At 43.0% G+C, this 17,321-nt stretch overlaps 1 long non-coding RNA gene across 20 annotated transcripts in view; it reads left to right on the top strand.

Moving 5' to 3' along the window:
- The window catches only part of LINC01837 (long intergenic non-protein coding RNA 1837), a 234,720-nt gene that overhangs the window by 52,316 nt on the left and 165,083 nt on the right, over positions 1-17,321 (top strand). For 17 of the 20 annotated variants that reach the window (XR_007067222.1, XR_007067219.1, XR_007067223.1 and 14 more), the window contains one exon: positions 9,228-9,360. This is a non-coding gene — a long non-coding RNA (long intergenic non-protein coding RNA 1837). Of the gene's footprint in view, positions 1-1,066; positions 1,082-1,660; positions 1,751-9,227; positions 9,361-17,011; positions 17,283-17,321 lie in introns of those variants that run through there. The other 3 variants (XR_007067217.1, XR_001753909.2, XR_001753923.1) reach the window with 2 other exon arrangements.

Raw genomic sequence — 17,321 nt, 5'->3', positions numbered from 1 at the left:
GGGTCTTGCTCTGTCTCCCAGGCTGGAGTGCAGTGTCGTGACTATAGCTCATTGCAGCCTCCAAATCCTGGGCTCAAGTGATCCTCCCCCCTCAGCTTCTCAAATACCTGGGACCACAGGTGTGCACTACTATACCCGGCTAATTTTTTTGTTTGTTTTGTAGAGAGAGGGACTCACTATGTTGCTCAGGCTGGTCTGGAACTCCTGGGCTCAAGTAATCCTTCTACCTCAGCCTCCCAAGGTGCTTGAATTATAGGCGTGAGCCACTGTCATTTCTCTTTCTTCCTTCCCTTCCTTCCCTCCCTTCCCTTCCTTCCCTTCCTTCCCTTCTCCCCTTCTCTCCTTCTCTCCTTCTTTCTCTCTCTTTCTTTCTTCTCTTTCTTTTTCTTTCTTTCCTTCTTTCTTTCTTTCTTTCTTTCTTTCTTTCTCTCTTTCTTTTCTTTCTTTCTCTCTTTCTCTTTCTTTCTTTCTTTCTTTCTTTCTTTCTCTCTCTCTTTCTTTCTTTCTTTCTTTCTTTCTTTCTTTCTTTCTTTCTTTCTTTCTTTCTTTCTTTCTTTCTTTCTTTCTTTCTTTCTTTCTTTCTTTCTTTCTTTCTTTCTTTCTTTCCTTCTTTCCTTCTTTCTTCCTTTCTTTCGCTGTGGGCTTGCCCTGCAAGGTGGCTGCCCTTTGATAGCAGCTCTGAAAATCAGGTCTTTAGGGGTGGGCAAATGAGTCCTTTGATCAAGTTTGGTGTCCCCACTTTGGTGTCCAAAGCAAGCCAGTTTCTGGATGAGGGGCTGTATCTGCATAGCAGGTCCCCCCTCGCCATCCCCTGGGGGCACCCCAGCCTTGAGTCAGCTAACTGGGGGCAACTGAATATAGAGAGAAACAGCTCAGCTCATGCCCAGACTTTTCCTTTTCAAGTCTTTCAATTAATATTATCTTCTAAAGTTAACATGTAGATATAAGTCATTAATGCGTCATGAATATGTATTCTGTTGTTGATAAAACATTCTCTCTCTCTCTCTCTCTCTCTCTGTCTGTCTCTCTTTTGAAAACTGAATCTCTGGGGAATTTGAACCCATGAAGATTTGCAGTGCAGGTGAGGAAGCACACAGTGGTGACCACCTCCAGGTTCAGCCCCATGGCTGCTATGGTTGCCACTCCCAGGGGCTCAACCAGAAGATGCAATCTTTCGCATCAAAGTAGAATTCACAGTCGCTGCACACCAGCCCCTCGTTCTAACAGTGAAACTCCAGCCACCTCAAGGGTTCCTCCATAGCTGTAGAAACTGTGTCTTCCCTCCCCAGCACTGGTCTCCTTAAGAATTGACCTTTGAGACTGTGTGTTCAGTAATGTCTCCAGTTTTGCTTGGTTAAACATGGAAAAATGTTCCTCTAGATAGAACCAGCTCCCCATTTATTTCAGAGCACCCTGTCTCTGACGTAATGCTGCCTGGTTTATGGCCTCGTTGCTCTGCGTTTCGAGTTGAGTAATGCCTGCTGGTGCAGGAGGCACCACCTACGTAACCACAGGAAGGGGCATCATCCAGGCAAGGCTTCCAGGCATCTGTTGGGAAATAGCTTCCTTTGTGCCAGACAAATGAATGTTTTTCACATTTCTCACAAAAGGAAAAGGGTTGCATGGTGGAGGTTAACATAACAATCTTCTCCTATTACAGTGATTTATGTGTGCATAACTTCAGCAGCAGAATGTCATCGAGGAGGTCTTTAATTGGCAGACTTCAGGGACCACAGAGGGAGAAGACAGAGTGAGCTCTGGAGAAATGAGAGTGTAGGCTGCCATTCCCAGCTCATCCCCTCAGAGGAGGTCTAAATAAATCTCCTGGGGAAGGCAGTCAACTTTTAAACTTTTTATTAACCTGATCTTGGCTAATGAAATACAAAAAGGAGGAGATGATCTTCAACTTCAGATGATTTGGATCTCCTGATGCGGCAAATGACTGCCTAGGTTTCTTGAGACAACGAAACACAAGTCCTCTGGCAATTTTCATTCAAAGACAACAATACTGCAATTTGCAGCCTTTATGACTTCAATGAGTCACTTGGTCTCATCTTGCCACAAAGGATATAATCATGTATTTTTAGGCATGTCAAAAGATGTGTTTTCTTTTGTGAACAGATTCTGAGCCTTTGGATAGAGGTGTTGTTTTTAAATGAAATCGTTGCTGCTTTGGTGACGTGATGGGTTTCAGATAAGAGTCTTTAACCTCTCAGAACGTTGCTAACTGTCTGGAAGGTCGGGCATGCAATGGAATAGAGAGGGACTTCTTTGACAGCACCATCCTAATATCTGTGTCACTATTAGGAATGCTGAGGTCTTTCCAAAATCATGATCAACGACTTTGGAAACATCTGTGTTTACATGGCCTTAGAGATTGCGTGGGCCTTTCTAGGCATTAAACTCCAGCACCTGCAATGCAGTGGTTCCCAAACTGTGGGCCAAGTGCTTTCATGGGTCACTAGGTTTTTGAAAGAGGACTAAGCATTTCTATGCTTTCATTTATTTTCCAAGTCACAGTATACTAAAAATACAACGTTTTAAATTAGGTTCCCCCAGAAGCAGACACTGTTACAAGAATTAGAGTGCAAGTTGTTTCTTTCAGTGGTGGTTGCAGGACACACTGGTAGGGGATGGGGAATGGAGGTATGATGGTTAATTTTATGTGTCAACTTGGCTGGGCCACGGTGCCCAAATATTTAGTGAAAATTGTTATGGATGTTTTTGGATGAAAGTAACATTTATATCAGTAGACTTTGAGTAAAGCTAATTGCCCTCCATAAAGTGGGCATCCAGTTATTTGAAAGTCTGAATAGAACAAAAGACTGACCTCCCCTGAGCAAGAGAGAATTCTGCAGCAGACAACCTTCCAACTGGAACAGCATCACTGGTCCTTCCTTGGGTGGGTCTCCAGCCTGCAGGCCTAACCAGCAGATTTTGGACTTGCCAGCCTCCAAAATCATGTGAACCAATTCCTTTAAGTGAATTTGGCTCTCCATATACAATCATGCATTGCTTAACCATGGGGATACTTTCTGAGAAATGCATCCTTAGGTGATTATGTCATTGTGTGAACCTCATAGCGTACATACACAAACCTACATGGTATGGCCTACTACACGCCTAGACTATACGGTGTAGCCTATTTCTCTCAGGCTACAAATCTGTGAGCATATTACTGTACTGAATACTACAGGCAACTGTAATGCAGTGATAAGTACTTGTGTTATCTAAACAAATTTAAACATAGTGCATTCTGCTATGATGTTGTATTAGCCCGTTTTTGCGCACTGATAAAGACATATCCGAGACTGGGTAATTTATAAAGAAAAAGAGGTTTAATGGACTCAGTTTCACATGATTGAGGAGGCCTCACAATCATAGGAGAAGGTGAAAGAAATGTCTTACATAGTGGCAGGCAAGAGAGAACATGTGCAGGGGAACATCCCCTTTATGGAACCATCAGATCTCATGGATTTATTCACCATCATGAGAACAGCACGGGAAAGACCTGCCCCCATGATTCAATTACCTCCCACTGGGTCCCTCTGATGACACAGGGAATTATGGGAGCTACAATTCTAGATTTGGATGGGGACACAGCCAAACCATATCAGATGTTATTGACAGTCATGATGGCTAAGACATCACTGAGCGATAGAAAATTTTCAGCTATATTTTTATCTTATAGGAGCACCATGGTAGATGTGGTCCATCGTTGACCAAAATGTTGTTATGCAGTGTGTGTATACACATCCCATTGACTCTGTTTCTCTGGAGAACTCTGGCTAACATAGGTGGTCTTTAGGCCTTAATCCCATCTAGCCCGAGAGAAGAAGGGAAGGGAAGGAGACTGATACAGAACACATTGAATGAGCAGATTGCTTTGCCTGGCAGCTGGGAGCTCTGGGAATGTAAAAAAATCCTGAGTTGTTCCAAGTAAGGGAGGAAATGGCTGGGTATGAATCCATCAACTCCTATCTGCTACTGGTGGAGTGGAGGGCTGTCCTGGGGCGTTAGCCCTCTGGTGCATGCTTGCAGCAGACACCCTTGATGCCTGTACTAGAACTCTGAGTGCTAGAGCAAGGCACGGAGGTGATGTACAAATACTACCATGTTAGGGTCTGTACAACTTTATGCTTAAGGGACTACTATAAGCATACTATACATGTGGGGGAAGGGGACTCTGGAATGCAGAGTTGCAAGAATATATTATGGGCTTCGTCTTTAGGATATGGGAGATTCTATGTATGACTTTGCATGGCTTAGTGTTGCCTGGGTTTGGTGTGGTCCAGCATAAGCAGAGTGGTCAGTACATCCCTGATGTGAGCCAGTGGGTAGAGAGATTGCTACAGTCTATTAATGGTCCTTCCACATGCCTGACAGGTATATGGATCCAGAGAAGAGTTGAACCTAGTGTTGGTTATATCTAAAGGCACCAGGGGTATATGTCCTGAAGGATATGATTCATTGGTTGAGGTGGGTGTTTGGTTTCTTCATTGTAGGCAAGCGCTTTATTTTCATCTTAATGTCAAAATACCTGCAGCTAAACTAGCTCACCATCTAAGTCTTTCAGACGGACTCTGCTTCTAGCCTTGTGTTTCTATCAGAGTCTCTTCCACCCTTCCCTTTTCCCAGCCAGGACCACGGGGGCAGCTCTGCCTCTTTCCTGCTATTTCTTCAGCCAAGTAATTTTAACACTCCATTCATCTTTCCTTTGAAGAGCCTCTCCATCCTTACTGTCTTTTTTATTTTATTTTTCCAAGTTTCTACATGCAGCATTCATTTTTATTTCATTTTTTCAAGATTATTTTGGTCTTATTTTATTATATTATTTCTTTGAGACAGGGTCTTACTCTGTTGCCTGGGATGGAGTACAGCGACACCATCACAGCTCACTGTAGCCTCGAACTCCCATGCTCCAGTGATCCTCCTGCCTCAGCTTCCCAAATAGCTGGGACTATAGGCATACACCACCATGTCTGGCTAATTTTGTTGTTGTTTCTGAGACAGAGTCTTCCTCTGTTTCCCAGGCTAGTCTTGAACCCCTGGCCTCAAGCAATCCTCTTGCCTCGGCCTCCCGAAGTGTTGAGATTACAGGCATCAGCCACAGCACCCAGCTGTCCTTACGATCCTGACTTTTGTTATTACTGGAGAGGAAGATGAGCGTGCTACCCCCTATTTTACATTAAAAAAATTATTTTGCTCATAGCAAGAAGCTCACATGTTTCAGAGGTCTACCAGGCAGAAGTATGATCTGTTTTCCTGTCTGCCTCTCTGGGGCAATGGCTGCACCATACCTACCTGTATATACTTGGAACAGCCCATGTATAATAAGTGGTAAAATACACCCAGAGTAATAATTCCATATGTTTAACAACCAATGTGCCAGTGAGACTGCTTCTCCCTGCCTCTGCAAGCTCCAAAGGGTGCCATCGTTTTATAATCTTGTGGGCTGGGAGAACAGGCCCTTTAAAACTCAAAGTGGTTAGGGTGTTCTAATGGCTCTCGCTTTCCTTCTGTAAAAACCCGTGTGTCTGTGGGGCTCGTGTGCCACTACTCACAAGGTGACAGCGGTGATCAGAAATGTAATTTTCAATATTTATGATTGAAAATGTAATTTAGAAATGAAAGAAAGGGCACTTGTTCCCCCTTAGCTCGAAGTGAAATCATTGTTTTGAGAGGTGTTCTTTGTACAGTTAATCTGGCCAGTGTAATTTACCACACCACGGCTGAATTGTAAGTCTGGTGCTCTATTCATCAAATAAGAATTATTTGTGCAAAATGCATATGAATTAGTGGGTGTTGTGTGGTGCAGTGGTGATTTGATTTCAGAAATCTGGCAAAGGCAGGACTTCAGTGAGCTAAGTCTGCAGTGTCACCTCCAGGGCACTGGTTCCATAAAAAGGTCAACAGCTGAGGTTGGCCATGTGTGGAAGCTGTCAGGTCAGGGTTTTGGGTCTTTCTCCCATTTTGCCCGTGAGGCACTAGCCCACTTTGATGTGACCAAGGGATGTCAACAAACTTAGAAAACCTATGGCTTGTTGAGCTATGTAGCTTGGCCTGCACTGTGTGTGTGTGTGTTTAATTTTCCATTTTAAAATAATTTAAGATGCACACAAAGTTGCAAGTATAGCACCAAGAATTCTCCTGTATTCTTTCCCCACCTTCCCCCAATGGTAACATCTTACATGACCATAGCACATTATCAAAACCAGGAAACTGGCATTGGTACAATATTATTAACTGAACTATAGACCTTATTTGAATGACATGTGAATGTTTTAAAAATTGAATTCGTTGCCAGCATTTTACTGTAGGGTGAGGTCATGCAGAAGTAAGAAGATTTATTCATACTGAGCCTGTGTTCTGCAGGGGAACAGCAGTGAGCGCTGAGTCACAGCAGCCCCTCCTGGAGAGGGACAGGCTCCCCAGTTTGCTCTGCTCCTCTCCACTGCATAGGGACGTATGCCTCACTAGCTTCGGTCATTTACTCTGCCTGCTGTGTCCTTGTAGGGATTTAAGTCTGCAATGCCTGTAATAATAGCTGCAAGTTCCCGAGTGGTAGCTGGGGGCTGAGAACCATGCCCTTGCAGAAGAACCTCTGCTTTAAGGAGTGACCACCCCAGGGGCCAGGTGCTCAGCAGAGGAATTCCCTTTGGAGAGCAGTGGAGTTTTTCTGTACAATACACATAGTGGATAGTGGAACCACTCACCACTCACCACAAATAGTGAGATGTTCATGAGATGTGATATGTGCTCATGGCCAAACTGCAGATGCCCAGATGCAGTTGTTTTACCAAAAGCCTGTGGTATTGCTGGGGCTAAAGACACGTTTCAGGGTGTAGCAGTGCCTCTTCTGGCTCCTGCTAGCCCTCTGGCTGAACTGCATGGCATTTTGTGGTCCTTGGTTATGCTTTTGCAAAGCCATGGGATAGATTTGGAGGCAGATATGCACTTTCACACTCCTCTTGTGATGGCATTTAATTCATAAGCAAGATAGGCATTGGGTCCTGGTTCTAAGAACAGTCTGCTGTCTTTTCAAGGACAAGGAAGATGGAGGATTGGATGCAGGTGCAGTTGAACTGAAGCCTCTGAGACACTCCCTGGAGAGGTGTCAATGCCGCAGAGGGCTTTGTAAACATAGAGCCCTTGGCAGGGGCCATCGTCTCCTCCCCCAGTTCAGTTCAGAAAACACTTGCTAATGCCAGTATGCAACAGGCACAGTGCTCGGTGCTGGGGCATCACAGATTAGCAAGTCTTTGGGGAGCTCCTATCTTTGGGGAGCTCTCGGGGCTCTGGGAAAGAACCATTTGCACCAAGAAGTAGATGAAAGACAGGGTGCTATTTCACCAGAGCGCACTGGAAAAGCAAGTGACGCAATGCATGCTGCCGGGACATCTGAGGTGGAGGCTCTGTGTATCCAACCAGCAGACTCCCATGCATGCGGCATGCATGCTCCAAAGAGCAAACACCAAAGTAGCAAGTACTTTTTTTCTTTTTAGAAGGCTGTGAGGGAAAGCAGGTGGGTGAGTGGTAATGGGAGTGGGGAAGGCCACAAAATGAACATCTGGAAAGAGAGACAAACAGAAACTCCCTTTCTCTGCAGAGCGGCTGTTCCTCCCCGGCCTCACAGTGCTAGTGAATTAGTTCTGGATTCTCTTAGTAATTAATAGCATTTAAGTTCCAGGGTAGTCAGTTTTGATTAAGCAAACATTAAATTAATCCAATCTGCAAACACTTACTCTCTAAGCACTACTGGGGGAGAGAGGCGGCTGGATGGACAGATGGATGTGTTCTCATTGGATTGCGGGCCACCTCCGAGTAGTTACAGCTGGATCAATACGGCTCCTAGAGCTATAATAGAATGGCTTCGACATGCTCATCTGTGGCTGAGAACACAGTATACACATTGATTTCCTGGCCTGATATAACCCATTTACCTATTCAGCTACTCCGTTCAGGAAGGTGGAGGGGTCCCCAGGCCCAAGGGAGCAATGATGCCTGTAAGTAGGTTAGCAAATGCTTGGGAAATGTCTTAATTGGTGACATGGTTCCTCCTTTTGGAAGGCACATTTCTTTGTAAAGAAAAGGCCTCCTTAGAATCATATTGGCTTTGTCTCGGGGAGCAGGAGAAGTTGGGGTGTCACCGTTTCCGCTCATGAGGATTTGCCCTTTCCATCATTGAAATCTTTGGTGTTGAACAATTGTCTTAGTTCATGGAGCATAAAGGGCTTCACTTTGAAGTGCATTCCAGGTATGTCTTTGACTCTGACTTACTTGGGTTTGGGACGCTCATAGAAAATGCACCAGGATCACTCAGACAGGGAGCATGCTCTCCTACATCTATTTTTGCTTTCCAATATAATTTATTTTATTTATTTTTATTTTTTGAGACACGGTCTTGCTCTGTCGCCAGGCTGGAGTGCAGTGGCCTGATCTCAGCTTACTGCAAACTCTGCCTCCCAGGTTCAAGTGATTCTCCTGCTTCTGCCTCCCGAGTAGCTGGGATCACAGGCATAAGCCACCACATCTGGCTAATTTTTCTATTTTTAGTAGAGATGGGATTTTGCCATGTTGGCTAGACTGATCTTGAACTCCTGACCTCAGGTGGTCTGCCTGTCTTGGCCTCCCAAAGTGCTGGGATTACAGGCGTGAGCCACCGCACCTGGCCCATTTTCCAATATAATTTAAAAAGAAATAGCTGGACTCAGTGGCTCATGCCTGCAATCTCAGTACTTTGAGAGGCTGAGATGGGAGGATCACTTGAGGCCAGGAGTTTGACACCAGTCTGGGCAACATAACAAGACTCTTTCTCTACAAAAAAATAAAAAATAAAAAAAATAGCCAGCACAGTGGTATTCCCAGCTACTTGGGAGGCAGTGGCAGAAGGATCCCTACGGCCCAGGAGTTTGAGGCTACAGTGAGCCTATTGCACCGCTATACTCCAGGGTAGGTGGCAGAATGAGACCCTGCCTCTAAAAAATATTTTAAAAAGAAAAAAGAAATAAAGCTGTTTTACATAAATTAAGGAGATGGCATGGTGTATCGCATTTAGGGATCAGTGCAGTTTTTGGAAGTGAAGAGGCTGATGTTTTAAAACCAGCCAATGAGAACTGGCTCCCACCCCCTGTAAAATAGTCATGTTATCCATATACTTATTAAAATGAAGTTATTATTGCCATAAGAATTTTTGTTCTGACTCTTCTTCTGTGTTCTACCTTTAGGAATATTCCTGATTTCCACTGGATGACTTTGACTGGTATGATTTCATTCTCTGAAAGTGTTAACCAGGGTGCAGCATGGCCAGAAACCATTCCGAGCCTCATGAAGTGGGCAAGTCAGGTTTGGTCATTTTTGGTAAGAAACCGCTTCCCAGAGAAGTGAAGCAATGAATTTGCGAGTTGTAGTGCTTTCCTTTCACCTGTCGAATAATCTGGACAGTGTTCTAGGATTTTCTCATGAAAATCTGGCTGATGTTGAAGCCCTGAGGTTTGGGGAATGAATTTCAATCATTGAGCCAAAGTGGATTTCCATTTAGGATTTTGTGGGAGGTCTCCCGAGTCTCAGGAGTGATCACGATGATGCCATTTAGGACAGCGGTCCCCAACTATTTTTGCACCGGGATCGGTTTTTGTGAAAGACAATTTTTCGACGGACCAGCGGGGATGGTTTCAGGATGATTCAAGTGCATTATATTTACTCTGCACTTCATTTATTTCTATTATTATATTGTAATATGTAATTAAGCAATTATACAACTCACCATAATGTAGAATCAATGGGAGTCCTGAGCTTGTTTTCCTGTTTCATCTTGGGGTGATGGGAGACAGTGACAGATCATCAGGCCTTAGATTCTCATAAGAAGCCACAACCTAGATCCCTCACATGTGCAGTTTACAATAGAATTTTGGCTTCTGTGAGAATCCAATTCCACTGCTGATCTGACAGGAGGCAGAGCTCAGGCAGTCATGCAAGTGATGGGGAGAGGCTATAAATGCAGACGAAGCTTCACAGGCCTGCTCGCTGCTCACTTTCTGCTGTGCCGCCTAGTTCCTAACAGGCCAGAGACCACTTGGTTTAGGAGGTAGAGCTTAGTTAAAATCCACAGTTTTTTTTTTTCTATTATGATTGGCTGCCATTTCCTTCAAAATCATGCTTTCCTTGAGAGATCAAAACAAATGTCAAGTTTGCACCATTTCATTTCTCTCTTGACCTCTTTAGCAGTCTTAAAAGATATTTTCCTTGTACTCAAGCTTTTTTTTTTTCAGTCTGTTACTTCATCTAAACAGAACCCTGCACATTCCTACTGTTCCTTCAGAATTTGGAGGTGCCATCAGTGTCATCCTGAACATCTTCCTGACCTGCTTCTGTTTTGGCCATGTGCTACATCTCTGGACAGAGGTCTAGGCCTTAGAAGCTTCTTGAATGTGCTGGACTTTTCATTTGGGGAGCTCATAGAGAATGTACCAGGATCACTCAGACAGGAAGCATGCTTTCCTACATCTATTTTTGCTTTCCAATATAATTTAAAAAGAAATAGCTGGACTTGGTGGCTCATGCCTACAATCCCAGTGCTTTGGGAGGCTGAGGTAGGAGGTTTGCTTGAGGCCAGGAGTTTGAGACCAGCCTGGGCAACATAGCAAGACTCTGTCTCTAAAAAAAAATGAAATAAGAAAATTAGCCAGGCACAGTGGTGAGCACCTGCATTCTCAGCTACTTGGGAGGCTGCGGCAGCAGGATTGCTTGAGCCCAGGAGTTTGAGGTTGCAGTGAACCTATTTTACCACTATACTCCAGACTGGGTGACAGAATGAGACCCTGTCTCTAAAAAAAAAAAAAAAAAGAAAGAAAAAAACTTATAAAAAGAAATTTTGCAGTTGTGTTTAGCTCATCATTTCCAAGTGGAGTTCAGCCATGAGATATTCATAAACTCTTCAACGTGTTAAAGTTACAAAGAACTAAAGACCAGGTCAACCAAGGACCCATGACATCCCTCCTTAACTGACTAGTTAAGGGTCAGTTAACTGGTCACTTATCTACTCAGTAAACTTTCTGTTTTTTTGAGACAGGGTCTCACTCTGTCACCTGGGCTGGGATGTGATGGTGTAATCACTGTCCACTTCAGCCTAGAACTCCCGGGCTCAAGTGATCCTCCTGCCTTGGCCTCCCGAAGTGCTGGAACTACGGGTGTGCACCGCCACATTCGACCAAGGCCAGGTTAATTTTTCTTCCTTCTCTGGAGCATTTATTAATATTAACATCTTGATTGTTCTATGGAACAGAGTTTGGAAAATGATACTTTAAGTTCACATAGAATTCGTTCTTTGCCCTAATGATGATAGTTAATATCTGTTTATCATTTACTTTTAAAGAGTGCAAATACGCTGATTTGCCTGAACTAGCTCCTTCAGTCCTCACAAAAGAAATCTTAGGAAGCAGGGACCATTATTATTTTTCATTTTATTTTTTTTGAGACAGAAGTTTGCTCTGTTGCCCAGGCTGGAGTGCAGTGGTGCGATCTTGGCTCACTGCAACCCCCACCTCCCAGGTTCAAGCGATTCTCCTGCCTCAGCCTCCTGAGTAGGCATTACATTCCTCCTGAGTAGGAATTACAGGCGTGCACCACCACGCCTGGCTAATTTTTGTATTTTTAGTAGAGATGGGGTTTTGTCATGTTGGCCAGGCTGGTCTTGAACTCCTGAACTTGGCCTCCCAAAATGTTGGGATTACAGGCATGAGCCACTGTGCCTGGCCACAGGGGCCATTATTGAGACCCCATGTCACAGTGAGGAAAGTAGGATGTGGAGAGGCTCAGTAACTTGCCCAGGGTCACAGAGCAAGGGCATGGCAGAACCGGGGTTTAGTCCCCAGAAGTCTGCAGTAGGACCCAAGCACGTGGTCACCAGTTTTTATCTGCCTCAGAATTGCTAGTTTTTACGTGAATAAATAGCTACTCTAGGTTCTGTTGAACTGGCTCAAGTCAGAGGTTGAATTCTTGACTTAGGAAAAAAATAGATGACATGTCCCCAACAGGAGCATTCTTCCTTTGTTTCTAGAGGACACACAAAATATACTGAGTACTTTTCATCATTGCACATATTTGTTCATACTTTTGGAAATAGCTAGGGTCACATGGTGACAAAGTGTAATGTGCTGTTGGATGGGCTGTGGGCACTGTGGCCCCGCCATCTTTCTGTGGCTGTTTAACTTTGCCCTTGTGGATAGAGGTAGTGAGTGAAGGTAGTTTAGTGGCATCAACCTTCCACCAGCTCCTTTATTCTAATCTCTTAAATGATTCTTGTGCGTGTTTGATGTTAACTCTGCCTTTTGATGTGGCATCCTCTTTATTAGGTGGTATAGAATACAGCTTTTAATATCAGTGTGTGTCTTACACATGTGTTCAGAGAACACATTACATTAGAAGGTGCTGGGAAGGAAAAAGAGGCTAGTGATCTTAAATGTGTCCAAGTGCCTTTATGAGATGCAATCAACCATGTCTTAATTCCCTCTATCCATCATTAGTTGAGTGGTGAAAATATATGCAAAAGAAAATGAAAGCCGGGCAGTAAGGTGGTGAAGAGGTTTTACAAATTAAATTATTTGAGTATATGATTCCTCAGATAGAAGGATATTGTCCAAAGGACTCTTTAATTATTATTCACTTCCTTTGGTGCACAAGAGAATACTGTCAGGGCCACAAGAGCACTTCACTGCAGTCAAATTAAAAGGATAACTATCTGACGTAGGGCTGTGTCTACACTCGATGAAATACGCTGCAGGTGGGCCTTCTCTATGTCTCAGATTGACAGGCCTTTGCTTTTGTAAGAAAGAGCTGGCTGCTGATGTGGTGATCTTGGTCAGATGTCTCATTAATGGCTGGGTGGGTGATTGTCCTGAACCTTCTCCCTCTGCAGATGGCTCAGCTGTCCCTGAGTCCTGATCCCCTTTTTCTTTAAGAGTCATATATTCTGACCAAATGAGCTTCATAACCATCTAGTCTAATATTTACTCTGGAGAAAGCCCAGTGGTCCAAAACTCTTTTCCATTTTTAACAAAAAGTATGGGGTCTAAGTGTAGAACAAAGAGAAAACAGTAACAGCCAAAAAAAAATTGATTTCTGTCCTTTGAATTCTTCCATCAGGAGAATTCACCTGCTTGAGTGTGCTTGAAATGGGAACACTCTGGGGATACAAGGTCATGGCTGTGGGTGCCTGGGCTCCCCTACCCAGGATGTTTTGGGAATTGGCCTGAAATTTACGATGAGTTTTGGGCATGATCATTGCATTTTGATCAAAAGCACAACCTAAAGGTTATCCCAAAGAGGTAGTGGGAGATCAAACCATCCCAGGGTCAGTAATGGGCAGTGGGCCTAAGACACTGCAAAGCAGGGCACCGTAGGAAAAAAAAAACAAATCTGAGTGGCCATCGTGGGCATAAATCAAGACATTTTGGACTTTCTTGAACTTCATTTAGGTTTACTATTCATATTTTAGGGTTTTTTTTTTTTTTTTTTTTTTTTTTTTGAGACAGGGTCTCACTCTATTGCCCAGGCTGGAGAGCAGTGGTACAATCTTGACTCACTGCAACCTCCGCCTCCTGGGTTCAACCGATTCTCCTGCCTCAGCCTCCTGAGTAGTTGGAATCAAAGGCATGCACCACCACGCCTGGCTAATTTTTTTGTTTTTAGTAGAGATGGGTTTCACCATGTTGGCCAGGCTGGTCTGGAACTCCTGACCTCAAGTGATCCGCCCACCTTGGCCTCCCAAAGTGTTGGGATTACAGGCGTGAGCCACCACGCCTGGCCTACTATTATGGTTTTAAGTTATGCACTATTGCAGAGGGCACCAGGGAGCCCTGTAGTTTTTCAGATCATCTTGCCGGGGCTCAGCCTTCTCTGGGATGAATCTGATACTGGGAGAGACTCACAGGCCCCCCCATCCCTCCTGCTCTTCTCTCCTACTCCTGGCTTCTGTTTTCAGTGACTCCCAGGACACAGGTGAGTAGCTCATCAGGAAAGAGACTGAGAAAGAGAGAGTGAGAAAATTGCTGATAGGTGGTTATTAGCTGCACATAAACTGTAATCTTGACTCACCTTATGGGTGTAATAATTACCAAGGCTCCCCTCTACGGAGCACTGTGGCTTTGTGAAGGAATTAAGTGATGGCCTTTATTAACCCCGCAAGACAGGGTCAGGTGGGTGTGCAAAGCTGCCATTATCCACACCTGCGAGGTGTGCTCATTTGCTGGGGGCTTTAGATGTGTTCTTCTACCTTTTAGGTGGCTTCAAGCGCAGTCCTCATTCACATCCTGGTGTTCATAGTTACAGAGAGTTAAAATAAAAAAAAATCTGGTCAATGGCAAAAAAGCAACAAGACAAAGAAATACCTGGAGATTTTATTTCTCTGAAATGAGGTGCCTCCACACCATCTTTGTTATTGACTCTTAGCTGCCATATTTTGTATTTGGAAATCTTCACCTTCCTCCAGATTGGCTTTAATGATGGCTCTGTCAGAGATTTTCCTGTTTACCATTTGCCTGAGCATTGATTTGGACAAAGAATCGTCTCTCTGCTGCCAGACAGTTTAGGTCTTGATCTATTTTCTGTTTAAAAAAAATCTTCCTTACTGACATTTAGGGCAAATGGGTGGTAGATGAGGGGGGACAGGAGAAAATATCCACTCTCTCTCCACCTTCAACTCCCCACAGCTTCCCTGTGCTGATGACATTCTATGATTCTTGGCTTATCATGAAAAAAGAACAATCTTTTTTCCATATTCATAACTAATACATGCTCACTGAGAAAAATTTAGAACATGCGTAAAGAAAATTATAAAATGAAAATAATCTGTAACCTCAGCACTCAGAGATGGTCACTGAACATTTTGAAATACATCATCCTGGCCAGGCGCGGTGGCTCATGCCTGTAATCCCAGCACTTTGGGAGGCTGAGGCAGGCGGATCATTTGAGGTCAGGAGTTCGAGACCAGCCTGGCCAACATGGTGAAACCCCGTCTTTACTAAAAATGCAAAAATTAGCTGGGCATGGTGTCAGGCACTTGTAATCCCAGCTACTTGGGAGGCTGAGGCATGAGAATTGCTTGAGCCTGGGAGGCAGAGGTTGCAGTGAGCAGAGATCATACCATTGCACTGCAGCCTGGGTGACACAGCAAGACTCCGTCTCAAAACAGTAACAGCAACGACAACAAAATCATCCTATTGTTTCCTTTACATATAGATAAATACATACCTACATATAGGTTTATTTAAAAAAATAGATCACAATTATATTCAGTTTTACAACATGGACTTTTTAAAAATAGTAAGCAAGGTTCTGTCTCCCACATATTCAATAGTTTGATAACCCATATTATTCACTTATTATATCATGACTATGATTTCATATCATCAATATTATTTATAACATTACTTTTCATGGCTAATCATTGTCTATTGCATAGAAATTCCCTTATTGTTGTATGTTTCTATTGTATAATTAAACTGCCTTTCTTTGATTTCTGAGATTGGCTACTTAAAAGTGTTTATTGGACACTTATATTTGTAGTTTTTGATTTTCTGTTTTTCTATCTCACACTTGTTTGCCCATTTGATTTGGAAAAGCTGACTACATATTAAAGATACAAAATTTTTATCATATATGTTGCAATAAATTTTTAGTTAATGGTATTAAAACATTTTATCATGAAATATACCACATAGAGAAAAGTGCACAAAAGCATATAGCTCAATAATAATCACGTTCTGAACACCCACGTAACTACCATCCAAGCCAGCAATCTGAAATCTCCTTGTACTTCACAATCACTATTCTTTCGTCCCCAGCAAAATCCATGCCAAACCAAAAGAGCATGCTAACTTTTATGGTATGCAATTCCTTGCTTTGCTTTATAGTTTACCATGTGAGCATGCATCCCTAAATACTATAGCATAGTTTTACTAATTTTCTGAACTTTATATAAATGGGAATATGCACTGTGATCTTATGTGTTTGTTGCCTGTAGCTGTAGTTCGTTCCTTATCATTCTTGCAGTTCATTCCTGCAGTCTTCCATCTTATGACTATAGCACAATGTATTTTTCCATTATTCTGTTGATGGACATTTAAGTAATTTCCAGTTTTGGGGGCAATTGATAATGCAGCCATGAATATTCTTGTATGTGTCTCTTGGTTCACATACATGTGTATTTCTTTTGCATATATAACTAAAATTGTGTTAAAGTATGTGTAAGTTCAGCTTTGGCATACACTCACAAACATTTTTCCGAAGTACTTGTACAATTTACACCCCACGTGGAGTGTCTGACTGTTCCTGTTGCTCTACATCCTTGCCAAAACGTCATGCTGTTAGCTTATTATTTTATTTTATTTTTATTTTTAAATTCCAACCATTCAGGTGTGTGGGTCGTGGTATCTCATTGTGGCTTTAACCAGCATTTCCTAGGTGACTAATGAGGTGGAACACTTCTGGGCTGTTTATTTGCCATTTGGAGATCCTGGCTCCTAAGTTCCTGGTCATGTCTTCTTGCCATCTGTCTATTCTGGCTCACCTGTCTTTCTTCCAATAGCTTTGTGGTTTTGGTGAAAAGCCTTTGTTAGTTTCATGTGTCACAGGTGCGTTCCCATGATCTGTCACTTTTTCACTCTTCTGTTGGAATGTTTTGATGAACAGAAATTCTTAGTCTTAATGTAGTAAAATCTACCCTAAGGTCATGAATATACTCTCGTATATTACTTTTCAGTGGCTTTATTAATTTGCCTTTTGTATTCAGGTCTAAAATTCCCTGGGTATTGATTTTTGAGTATTGTGTAAGGTAGGATCAATTTTATTTCCTGATAGATATCTAGTTGTCCCATTGTCATTTCCTTCTAACTCTCAAGTGTGACTTTTCTCCTGTAAAGCAAATGCATATATATATATATATATGTACATATATATATACACACACACATATGTACTACATATATATAAACTCAGTCTTGTTATCATTCAGTTCTACTGGCTTTGAAGAAGCAAGCTGCTATGATGTAAACTGACTATGGAGAAGGCCACGTGACAGGGAATTGGGTGTAGACTCTAGGAACTGAGGTCTTAATCCTACAACTGCAAGGGGATTAAAGTCTACCAACAACCACCTGGGCTTGGAAGAGGACCGCTGATCTCCAGATGAGAACGGAGCCTGACCAACACCTTGAGTGCCACCTTGTGAGACTCTGAGCAAAGACCCAGCTAAGCCACACTTAGACTCTTGACGTACAGAAAATGTGAGATAAGGAATGTGTGTTTTCTGTAGCCAATGATAT

Source organism: Homo sapiens, chromosome 19 (assembly GCF_000001405.40).
Source record: "Homo sapiens chromosome 19, GRCh38.p14 Primary Assembly".
In the NCBI taxonomy this organism is placed as follows: domain Eukaryota; kingdom Metazoa; phylum Chordata; class Mammalia; order Primates; family Hominidae; genus Homo; species Homo sapiens.
Note: the sequence above shows the minus strand (reverse complement) of the source record. Positions and strands in the feature narration are given on the sequence as shown.